This window comes from Homo sapiens, chromosome 3, assembly GCF_000001405.40.
Source record: "Homo sapiens chromosome 3, GRCh38.p14 Primary Assembly".
In the NCBI taxonomy this organism is placed as follows: domain Eukaryota; kingdom Metazoa; phylum Chordata; class Mammalia; order Primates; family Hominidae; genus Homo; species Homo sapiens.
Genome location: NC_000003.12, coordinates 156,461,903 through 156,474,385, shown reverse-complemented (window position 1 = coordinate 156,474,385; position 12,483 = coordinate 156,461,903). Strand labels below are relative to the sequence as shown.

General features: G+C 37.0%; 1 protein-coding gene across 11 annotated transcripts in view, besides 1 other annotated feature; it reads right to left on the bottom strand.

Moving 5' to 3' along the window:
• The window catches only part of KCNAB1 (potassium voltage-gated channel subfamily A regulatory beta subunit 1), a 420,928-nt gene that overhangs the window by 64,753 nt on the left and 343,692 nt on the right, over positions 1–12,483 (bottom strand). For all 11 annotated transcript variants that reach the window (XM_017007171.3, NM_001308217.1, NM_172160.3 and 8 more), the window contains 2 exons: positions 10,640–10,684; positions 8,700–8,743 (listed from right to left, as the gene is read on the bottom strand). In XM_017007171.3, the coding sequence (XP_016862660.1) occupies positions 8,700–8,743; positions 10,640–10,684 (89 nt within the window). The remainder of the gene's footprint in view (positions 1–8,699; positions 8,744–10,639; positions 10,685–12,483) is intronic.
• Positions 10,812–11,423: an enhancer, noted in NCBI's record as "OCT4-NANOG hESC enhancer chr3:156180752-156181363 (GRCh37/hg19 assembly coordinates)". NCBI's record gives its function as "activates a minimal SCP1, AML or CMV promoter by ChIP-STARR-seq in naive H9 embryonic stem cells {active_cell/tissue: H9 hESC(naive)}" and the evidence as "EXISTENCE:reporter gene assay evidence [ECO:0000049][PMID:30033119]".

Here is a 12,483-nt window from a genome sequence, read left to right as displayed (position 1 = left end):
AACAATGCAAATTAATATTTATGTATTTTGGATCACTTAATAGGCTTATAGTGAGCTAGAGGTACATTTATTACACATAAAACTCATTAAAATGGTTTAAATCAGAAATAAATGACTGCCCCAACCCCATCTTAATGTAAATGTTGGTTTTAATAGTAATATAAAGGGGTTAGCAAATGAAGCCTTTGCTCAACATTTTACTAATTGGAACAAAGTTTAAGGAACATAAAATATAGCTGAGCTCTACCATTTCTATTATTCTCTGTTTTGGGGGAAGAAACAAAAACACTGGACGCTAATGCTATAAAGACTGAAGACGTAATATGAAGGAGAGAATAAGAACTTAAAAAGGGAGTCAGGAACCAACCGCCTATGTTTCAGCCCTAACCATTTGGTCACATTTCTATGAATACTCAGAAAAAAATTAATTTTAGTAAAATTAATGCTTCCCTGAAATAGAATGTATTGTATATAATATTATGCAACCAAAAGGATGACAGTGTTCGAGAATCATGTTACCCTATTTCCATGGGGCACAGCATTTAGCATTCTCTTATCAGCCTCTTTAATTCCTCAGGGAGACCAGAGGCTTTAGTCTCTTTATTATAGGCATAAAATTAATTGCATGTTAAATGAGGCTCTTATAAATTTAAATTTGGTTCATTTAAATTTGATTTTTCATACTGGTTTATCAGCCAGCCACAATTACTTTTCTGACAGGAAAATGGAGTGCTTGAATATTGTTCTGGAAATATTTTCCATCCATTGAGAAAGGATTGTCTGTGATGGTAGCTTGTTAAAAGCTTTGATGAAGAGATTAGGGCAGACAGATGTTATGAGGTCTAATGCCTTCTCCTATAAACCTTCTGTGATGCTCAGGCACAGGGTATCACCAGCTATCTCAAGAAACAGTGTGAAATTAAATTAACATGAAAAAGTATCATGATATGAGCCACTTTTGGGGACAGTTGTATGCAGGGAGGAGGTAAGGAAAGGACAGGAATACTAAGTAAACAAATAACAGGGTATCACAAGGTTTGAAAGGTCGGAAATCTGCACTCTAGCATGCTAGGGACCCCACTTGGGTTCTCTGACCTTTCTTTGAGACTCAATTCTCTAGTCTGCAGTGGGCCTAACAATACTGACACCTTCAGAATTGCTGCTCCTGGGAGAGCTGTGTAACATAGTCTACAGAACCAGAATGTGAAATTATACCATGGTGTTCGCATCTGGAAAGTTTCAGGGGGAAGACAGCAGAAGACCAAATGCCAAAAATTTTCACTAGACCCCCTGTTTTGGAAAGGGGCATTTAATGACAGTTCTGGCCTATGCCTGGCAGAGGAAATAAGTATCTTGTTTTCTGACAATGGCCCTCTCTCTCCGTTCTCTTCTAAACAGCTCAGTGTGGGCTGAGAGTAACTAGGAGAAGAGGCTACAAATAACTTGGCACTGTTACAGCACTGTGTGATCAGGCATGTCACAGACAGGTGTGATTTTGTCATTTATTATTCCATCCCATGAGCATGTATTGAGTTCCAATTTTATCCTGAGACCGTGCCAGGCTCTCGGGGTTTAAAGATGCACAGACACAGTCTTCATCCCAAGGAGCACTAACAGTGCATATTGAGAGCGGCTATTGGCACAGGTTCCTTGTTCAAGGTCGTAATATGTACCTGGAACTAATGATATGGACTTGATCCTAAGGTCAGCCTCATGGTATTTGGTCATTCCCACCTCTTTAGTTCTTTCTCTGAAAAGCACTTTCTTGATATTTGGCAAGAAATTCAAGTATCTGAGGCCAGTGATCCCTCCTCTGACTTTGAAGTGGAGTGAAAGGAAATTGTCCCTCTAAAGGACACTATCCACTCACTTTAAAAATCTCAATCACGTAAAGTCTTGTAATCCATGGTATGAACTTTGGATTCTGTGTGAGATTTAAAGACATTGGTTGGGGAGGGTCGAGTGAGGAGGAGATTAAGCAGAGGAAATAATATGATCAGATTTCCATTTTGAACTGATGGCTCCACCTGCTGAGAGGGACCTGAAGGCACAAGAGTGAAGGCAGGCACAGCCACCGCAGCTCATCCAGCTCAGACAAAGTTAGTGAGAGGTGTACACATTTGGGACAGGTTGTGTAAGTAGTAATACATGGACTTGCTGGTGTGCTGGACATAGGGTGTGGAGATTAGAGTAAATAAGAATGACTCCTAGATTTTTGGCCTGAGAAGTGAAGCGACTGTTACTAAATGGGGCAGTCAGGGGGAAAGCCAACCGGAGGTGGTCGGGGAGCCAAGTTGAGTCTAAGTAGCACCTCAGTCACTACATGGAGCTCTTGGCAGCTGGATGGACCAGTCTGGCATTCAGAGGAGGCGAGGCACAGGGTTTGGGATTCAGGGTACTGATTTGGGCTGTCCCGAATGACCCTGTGATATCCCTTAGCCTCTCTGAGCCTCAGTTTCCTCATCTGTCCAAGGACAAAATGGTGCTTGGTGATCTTCCTGCTTTGGTCTTTCATGTGACTGCAAACCAAATCAGATATTCCTGCTTTTTCCTCTCTGGATGCTTTAATTTTGTAGAAATACATAAATGAAATCAACATTAAGATATGTTTCATGAGTATCTCCTTAAGAGCCATTTACGTTTAGTTTCAAAAAACAAGTCATCATGTTCTATCTCCATTTAGCAAATGATTGTTGAGTGCTGGCTTAGGGCCAGGTATTGTTTTAAGTTTAAGTAGACATGCAAAAATGCATTAACCTTGGCTCCAGAAGGGCAGCTGGGCAGCCAATCTTAACCTAAGGAGGTAAGTGCTCCAGTGCAGCAAATGTACTTGCTGGAGGCTATTTGACCTTAGCCTGTGCCTCCGCACTAACCCAGCGTCTGTGGAAAGAGGAAAACAGGAGAAGCAGGAGAAATGCTCCCTGACCTTGAGGAGATAATTAGAAGTAAACTGGCAATTTCTCAAAAGTCCACAGGAAAATAAATTACTCAAAGAAAATAGTTTTCAAGTGACTACAGTAAAAAAAAAATCTAAGTCCATTTTTCTTTTAGGTTCCAAAGTTTAACAAGAACCATACTGTTTAGAAGGTAACCTTAATTCAATTTAAGTGTATTTCACAGGTTTCTAAAGAAATATGTTTATTCCAGACAGTCAGCAGATTGGCACAGTTAGAGGTGGATGGGGTGTTCACTGTTGCAGGTTTGACTGTGTGGAAGCAAGGAAATCAGTAGTTTGGAGATTCTGCAAGGGTTCTATTTAAGCATGCTGTGTTGTCACCTTTTACACCTACCACGCACTTGCTTTTCTATCTAGCTTGCAAAAAAAGTTGCCTTAAATAATATACATTGTTTATATAATTTCTAGTTTTTTCTCAGCAGACCTATCATCATAATTTGAGACACCTGCTTCTTTTATAAAGGCTGGGTTGTACTGGAATCATATTCAGCATATGGCTGTGCCTCCCGTTACAAAACGTGGTTATCCTTGATGGCTGATGTATGTTTACATGAACGTAGTACACTGAAAAAAAATCCTGTGGCAAATCCATTTGTTCAGAAATGTATTCTTTAATTGAAAAATCATAGATTGTCTTTTTCTTTTAAAGTTCATAGAGTTTAAGATTTGTTATTAATTAAAAAGTTTCAAGCAGAGCTTTCTCAGATTATTTTCCTCTCCTACTCCAAAAACAATGGCAGTGGGTTTGTGTTTTGAATTGTGTAACAAAATTGTTTACCTGAAAGGCAAATGTAGAGTCGGACACAGCTTTTGGCTGTTGGAATATACAAGCGATTTACTTATTCTTACTTGGTGACCTACCAAACTATTTCTTTTCCTTCACATTAGGCACTAAAGGAATGTATTTTATTTTAACTTAATTAATTAACTTTTTCTGTAGAGACAAGGGTCTCACTATGATGACCAGGCTGGTCTCAAGCTCCTGGCCTCAAGCCATCCTCCCACCTCAGCCTCCCAAATCGTTGGGATTACAGGCATAAGCCACCATGCCCAGCCAGTACCAAAGGAATCTGTTCTGCTAAATTCTAAGATTGGCTCAAATTGGGGTTTAAAAAATGTTTGTGGAATGGCTGAATGAGTAAATTGGATTTTAGAACCTGAGGGGACTTTGTGATTCTAAATGAGTGTAATCAATCTGCTAGTGAAATTTCTTCCTCTTCCTTGTGAATCTAAGGAGAACATTACACCTAAGCAGATCTAAGTCAAGAACTTTGGGCTCATTAAAAAGGCCTTTCAATATGAATTCTTTCAAACCTACATTAAGCACAAATCAAGCTCATTGTATACTCTGTAAACTAACTCAGGTGGCTAAGGTCACCCAGCACAGAAGTGGCCTGAACTCTGTATCAATTTGAACTTTCTGTCTTATCCTCTAATGGTACTTCTCTAATTTAATTTGTATACAAATCTCCAATGTCGAGTGAGGTCACCTTCATCACAGAACCAAGTACCAATGAAACCCAAGGATAATAACTTGTAAACTTTTTTAAACTTTATTTTGGGTCTCATCTCATGTCCTTGCTTTTCTGCAAAACTCACTCAATTCCCTAATTTCAGCCTGCCTAGAAAATACTTTGAGCTAGTTCTCTTGTAATCACAAGGCTTTATCTTTGGCAGAAACTATGGACTGTAAAATAACACCACCACCACCAACATAATAACAAATGATCTCAATTCTTCTTCCATCTCAAAAGTTTGAAATTTTGTGTTAAAGTTTGAATCTGGGTCAGCTTGAATTTCAGCTGAACTGGTTTATCCATCCTCAGAGATTAGTTCCTAAGAGAATTCCTGACTTATTTAAAGGTGGAGGGAATTTAAGATATTTCTATTATGTCATATGAGGCTTGAAAAAATGCTTATTTGCAGGCAGATCACTTGAGGTCAGGAATTTGAGACCAGTCTGGCCAACATGGAGAAACCCTGCCTCTACTAAAAATACAAAAAAATTAGCTGGGCACGGTGGCACATGACTGTAGTCCCAGCTACCTGGGAGGCTGAGGCAAGAGAATCGCTTGAACCCTGGAGGCGGAGGTTGCAGTGAGCCGAGATCGTGCCACTGCACTCCAGCCTGGGTGGCAGAGTAAGACTCTGTCTCCAAAAAAAAAAAAAAAAAAAAAAAAAGAAAGAAAGAAAGAAAGAGAGAACCCTGAAATTATGTACACACTCTGGTAAATATTAAAGCAATGGAGATGCAGTGAGGAGCATAGTAGCAGACCTTCTCCATTCTTTTTCTCTTCGATTTTATATTTCTTTGCTAACTGCCAGTGTGAACCATTTTCCGAATCTCTCTTTTCTAATTAATTAGATTAAAAAGAAAAGAACAAAAAACAAGAACTTTTCGGGAAACATACTGCTGCCCTGTTCATTCAGCGTGGTTCTGTAAGCTGACTTGAGTTATTTGTCACTGGCAAACTCCATGGAAGAGAATACAAGTCATGAGGGCAAATGCTGGAGCAGGAATGCTAGGGCAGTAACAGCTTTGAGAGGCAGCTTAGCTTTGACTTTACAATGTCAAATGGGACACTAAGGCCTGAGCAGGGATGCTGTTTGGGTGAGGAATTTGGATGCTTTTCTTAGGGCTAGAAGGTTGTCACTTATTGTAGCTGTTTCAGAATGTCACTACTTAGTAAAGAGTATCCTTATCCATGGAATGAAGACTAGCAGTTGTACTTATAAGGACAATGATGATGACAAAAATAACATGCGTTAAGTGCTTATTATGTGACAGACACTGTGCTCAATGTGAATTATATAATTTTTATCCCCATATAGTAACCTTTATATTTATAGTCTATAGTTAAGGAGACAGAGGCTAGGTAGGTTAAGTAACTTGCACAAAGTCACCAGCTCATAAATCACAGAGTTGGAACTTGAACAAAGGTCTGATTTGAAAGCCCATATGCTTAAAATTATATTAAAAAAACAGTCAGTGAGAGATACCAAACCTATACAAAGACTTTGGAAACAATGGGGTGATTTAATTATTATGGCATATATCTATGTACACACACACACACGCATGCACACACATATGGTTCACACTGGCAATCAAGAAAGAATACATATATATACATTCTGAGATCTGGCTTCAAATGTCTTCATTTTAAATTCAGTGATTGAATACTGAAACTATTTTTTTTCTATTGCAAGTCTAAGATATTTCAACGTAGTCTTGTTTATAGGTCTATAAAGATCTTCAGCTTCCAAGTTGGAATAAAAATACTCAAATGAAACATTAGCTCTTAGGTTCAAGGAGAGAAAAAAGTTCACAATGAAACGACAGCCTGAGAGAAAATATTTGCAATACATATGACCAAGCAAAAAGTGAACATCACTAGTATCAAAGAGCTCCTGCAAAGTATTATGACCAAGACAAAGAAATCAAAAGAAAAATAGCCTGACAACATGAAGAGTGAATTTCCAGAAAAAGAACAAAATTGTTAAAAGAAGCTCAAACTCACTAATAAATAAATATATAAATAAGGAGATAAATAAGACCAGCTCATCTAACAGGATGGCATATTCCTTTTAGAAAGTGATTTTGTGTTAAAATTTGTATAATTCTTTGACTTAGCAATGCCACTCTGGAATCTACCCCATTTACCTAAGGATGGTCACTTGTATAATTCTTTAAAATGCTAAAAACTGAAAATAATCTGTTAAGTTGTGTATTTTAATTAAGAAAAAAATCAAGGCTTAGGTTAATATTTGTGGCCTGGTTCTACTGTTTATATATATATTTAAAATATAAGCCAGTGTTTGGATGGATGGATAGACAGATAAGTCAGTACAACCATAGAGAAAAGGTGAAGAAGATGTGTACCAGATTGTCAGACTCTAGGATGGGATGAGATTGGATGAGCAAATGGAGAACCTGGCTTCCTTATCTATTTTGATTTTCGAAGTGGTGAGATTAGAGCACATTTTACATTTTTGGTGATGTTAGTATTTCCTAAATGAAAATATTTTTTAAAAAGGAGAAAATCACTTGTTTCAATGATCAATCATGAATCCAAAGTTACAAAATTCTTGGATTTTTTTTGAAATACAGATAGTTCACAACTTACAATGGTTTGACTTATGGTTTTTCAACTTTATGATGTAGTGAAAGTGATATGCATTTAGTAGAAACTGTACATGGAGTTTCCATACAACATTCTGTTTTTCACTTTCAGAACAGTATTCAATAAATTATTAATGCATGTGACATTTAATTTATTATAAAATAGCCTTTATTATAAAATAGGCTTTGTGTTAGATGGTTTTACCCAACTGTAGGGCAATGTAAGTGTTTTAAGCATATTTAAGGTAGGCTAGGCTAAGCTATGATGTTTAGTAGGTTAGGTGTATTAAACGCATTTTCAGCTTAAGATATTCTCAATTTAAGATGGGTTTATTGAGATGTAATCCCATCATAAATTTGGGAGCATCTGTACTTCACGAACTAGTATAAACTCTTAACATTTTTCTTTACTGCAAAAAGTATAAGTGTAAAGTTTGATAATATATAGACAAGCAAGAAATAAAAATTACTCACAATTCTCACAATCTTCACGATTAAGTAGAGTAGTAGTACTTTATTACATAATGGTTCTTGTTGACTGTTTTATTTCCTGTTTATTTCTAAATTATACAAAGTTTTGGGTGCCTTGCAAAAGTAATGCACCAGGAATCAATTACCTAGTGGTAATTTTCTACACATTTTTTATGCATATGTATATTCCCTTCTAAAACAGTATAGTATACTACTCAGTGATGAGTGCATTAAAGCCTTAGAGGTCACTACTATACAATTCATCATGTAACCAAAAACTACTCGTACCCCAAAAGCTATTGAAATAAAATATATATATGAAAAAATCTAAATAATAATAAAATAAAAACTAAAAACTATAGTAGTCTTAACATATGTCTACACAAAAATTTGCACACAAATGTTCATAGCAGCATTATTCAGAGTAGCCAAAAAGTGAAAATAAGCCAAACGCACTTTAACTGATAAATGGATAAACAAAATGTGGCTATCCATATAGTGGACTATTACTTGGCAAAGAAAGGGATAAAATACTGACATGCGCTACAACATGAATGAACATTATGCTAAGTGAAAGAAATCAGTTACAAAATATCATATATCATGAGATCTCATTTACATGAAATGTCCAGAATTGTCAAATCTATAGAGATAAAAAGTAGATTTATGGTTGCTTGGGACTGTGGGAGGGGGTGAGGAGGTGATAGGGAGTGTCTTCTAGTGGGTATAAAGTTTATTTTAGGGGGGATAAAAATGTTTTCACATTAGATTAGGGTGTTTGGTGTACAACTCCGTAATTATACTCAGAACAAATGAAATGTACACTTTAAATGGGTAAACTTTCATGATACGTACATTATATCTCAATAAAGCTCTTTTAAAAAGTCTTATGAGAATGTTTTATTAATATTAGTAATAGCTGAAAATGAGAAGAGTTCTATACAATTTTGCCTTTTCCTTTTGAGTTCCCATTCTCCCCTCTACATCTCTGCATTCCCTATATTTAACCCCAAGAAGAAACTTGGTTGATTGTGGCACTTTTCATATAGAACTTTTTCCTCTTCCAGTGTGTTCTGAATTTGTTTGGTTGATACCTTTCTTGAATGAGGGGCCCACAACCAAAAATAAAATTGAAGCAGAAGTACCCACCTTCAATAATATGCTTTCTTGACAGCCCTCTTTCTGTTTCAGCTCTGCCAAGAAAAAGAAGCAAATAACTTTGAATGAGAGTGTGCTTTCTTTTCTTCTCTAAATCTCTGGTCTGAATTGCTAATTTTGCACCCTGTTCTTATCAAATTCTACACCACTGGAGGGAGGCTAAGGAGAGAAGTCTGGTGGGCAACACACTGAACCCCTTTTCTTTGGAGATCTCAGTAGATGAATCATCCACGACTGTCACCAAGCCACTAACATGCTCAACACCAGGCTCCAGTTAACAGCAACTCAGCCACGTACACTCTGTCCATATTTAACTCAAGACACTGTACGACCTTTTCACCTTGTTCTTAACCAATCTAGAGAAAATAAAAAGGCTTGACATAGGTTTGTGAGTTTATTGTAAGATTGCCAGGCTGCTGAACTTTTTTGTTAGCTTTTCTGATAAAGGAAGCAAATTTGGAAGTGCCTTTTGACTTCCAAAATAAATTTTAAAACTAAATTAAAATGTGATGAAGCAAATGTTCCTTAAATTCGTACCCCCAGAAGACAGACCCTTAATCATAAGGACTTTTGCCTTCCCAATTCTCAAGCTCTGGCCAATTAGAATGAAATATGGTACTTGAATTTTAAAGTATCCATAACATGTTTCTTCAACATCAATACCTTTGGCAGCTTCTTTTTAAATATAATATTTACCATTCACTTTTGTGAATGTATTCTTATTTGGTATTCTTAATAAGTACATTAGTAATACCGTAGGTAGTATTCTACTACATATTCTACTATATAATGGTTCTTGCAGACTGTCTCATTTCCTGAAAGGTTTTGTAGCATTTCGAAAGCACTGAGCAATGGCACTGTGAATCAAAGCTCGGGCAATGAAAATCCACATTTCTCATAGGCATGATGTTGCTTTATTTTTGTACAGATTACTACAGGAATAAAAAATTTAAATTCCATCTTTCTGTCTTCATATCATTATAAATAGGCTCAAAACCAACAACAAAATAGAGTATGTGTTTGCAAGTGTGTATATACACATAGACATTTTGATTAGAAGGTTCCTAAAGAAGAATTGGCCTCTGCCTCTAATTAAAAAAAATTCCCTATCAATTATAGGAAGGTAAATAAGGTTTTGTTTGTTTTTGCTTTTTGTTAAAACTCCAGCATTATTATTATTATTATTATTATTTTTTTGCGATTTCTGTCTCAAAGATGGAAAAGCACAGTACCAATGATTGCTCTGGTATATGGAATATCTTGCTGTTTTCTTACATGTTTGTCAAAAAGGCCAGCCTTCTAAGTCCTGCTGAATAATGTAAGTACCAGTTCAAATGCCAGCAGGCCCATAAGAAGCCAATTCATCCTGTGAAATCTTCTCTGTATCCCACAACAGAGAGCATTTCTCTTTCATTTGGCCTGACAGCGAGTGATACAGGTAGCTCCATGTTATTCTCCAGTGAGATGGTCCTTTTGATCAGCACTTTCAGAGCCCTCTGCAGAAATGATCAGAGACTTAGACATGGAGCCAGACAAGATATTTTTATCTTTGCATTCTGTAGAAGTCTCTGAGTTTTGGCAGATTTGAGTGACTTTTCTTCTGTGATGCTTTGTGCCTATTTTTCTTTCCTCAAATTTGAACTCTATTTTGGAAATGATTCTAAGTATGAGATTGGTATTTGAAAAATCTACATTAATCACTTAGTAACAAGTGACCACATGCTTTGCACTAAATTTCTTTGGGATTACCTTGCTAAAATGAAATCTTAGGCTAATTGCTATTTCCTTAGTGTGAGAAAAAAACAAAAAAAAAACAAAAAACCCTCTCTCTAAGCCAATTAATTTTGGTACGTTATATGTAAAATAACTGCCTAACAGCAAAAAAGCATGAACTACTAGTTGTTTTCTGTTTAGTAGGAAAAATAACTTACTTTCCACCCCAGTAGAGTTTGGTTGTTATGACCAGACTGGACCTCCTGTATATCAAAAAGACAAACACAGAGAAGTAGTAAATAAATGCAGGTTATTGTACCGAGTCATATTATTATAATAGCACCAGAAAGAATTTGTTATTATACCTCACATTTTAAAAATTGGTAAAGAGGTAAATTTGTTAATCCATCTCACTGAAATAAAGACAAAGGGAAGCTAGTGCGGGGGACTCAAAGTCGGATCCTAGAGGAAGAGGCTGAATGGAAATGATCTTTGCCTGGAGGAGGTGGAGGGCAGTGATAACAAGTCAGATTGGGAACTGACAGCAAGCCCATGTCGACATAGCAAAGTAAAGGTGAGTGGTGGGCCAGCATGGAGGGTCAGAAATGGCGTGTGGGGATGAAAGTGAAAAGACTGAGGGGATGAATTGCTTTAGTAAGTCAAATGAACAAACAACAATGAACACGTATTCAGTATCTGGCCTCACGCTGATTGCATATGAACTCCTCCCAGGAGGACTCCACTCTGCCAAGGAACATGGATCCTTGTGGCTCCAAGTTATTATCCCTTCTAACATCACATTCACAGGCAGGAACTGACTACATAGACATTTAAATGATGAAGTGAATTATAATAGTAAATATTTAGAACAAACAGGAAAAAAATGTCTTTGAGTGTCTTATTAAATGGAAATGTCATTTTAGGAAAACAGTCCTAAAGTCCTTAACTCAAGTTTCTACCATTTTACTGCTAGGGGAATGAAATGTGCATATCTCATCAGCAAACTTATTACCTTCTGAAAGCCACAACCAAGGGCAGGAAATGCAATCCTAGCATTATGATCATGGAATAAGAAATATGTCTTGAGAACTACAGGTATACAATAAAATTGGGAAGCAGATCTCAGTGCAATTTGGTTTCCCTCGGTATGTAATTTGATCGCACTGGTCTAGAGAAAACATCATTTGAGATTCAAAGGTTAAGGCCAATCTTCAGGAGCGCTTGAAATAAGGCGTTTATAATTCCATCATCTGTAGGGTCAACGCCTCAGGGCTCTCAGGTATAAAAACCTAGTATGATTAATGATAACCAATGGGGAATGATGGTGACAACTCTGACAACTTGGTTGCAACAAGAAAAATTTGTTGAAAATGTTAGCAGCCCCATCCCACTGAAGTGAATCCCCCCAAAAGTAATTTGAATCACTATAATGGAAGGTCGATAAATACATGTACCTGGAGATAACACAACCTGAAAGGGCTGATGTACTTTCCAGGTTAATACATCAACCTCATGATACCTATTATAATAGCAATCTGCCACAGGGGAGCCCGGTCTCCTTTAGCACTTTCAACCTTCAACAAAAAGCTGGATGGAATATTATAAAAAATGAATGCAGTCCTTTTGATTATTCAAAGCTGCATATTCTATACAAACACTGCCACAGACTTAGTTTTTCAAAGTTAGGCTTCCTGTAAAACATTTGGCCTATATGGATATGCACATTAACTATATGTTCAAAGAGCAAGAGTAGACAGCAGCCTGGCAAATTGTCACTGACTCCCACAGAGGCTATTAGAGCAACTCTTCTGAGTGGGTAGAGAATGATAATGTATTTTACAGTGATACAGCACAGCCTTCAAAATGCTTTTGCATACCTTATCTCACTCTGTCAGCATGACACTTCATGAACTGTTATGCTGTCCATTTTACAGGTGGGTAAATTGAGAATCAGAGAGGTGTAATAACTTGTCCTGGATAACACAGCTAGCAAGTGGTAGCGCCAGGACCAGAAGTCAAGTGTGCTAGTTGAAACAGCTTTTATAGGCTCAAAGCTATGATG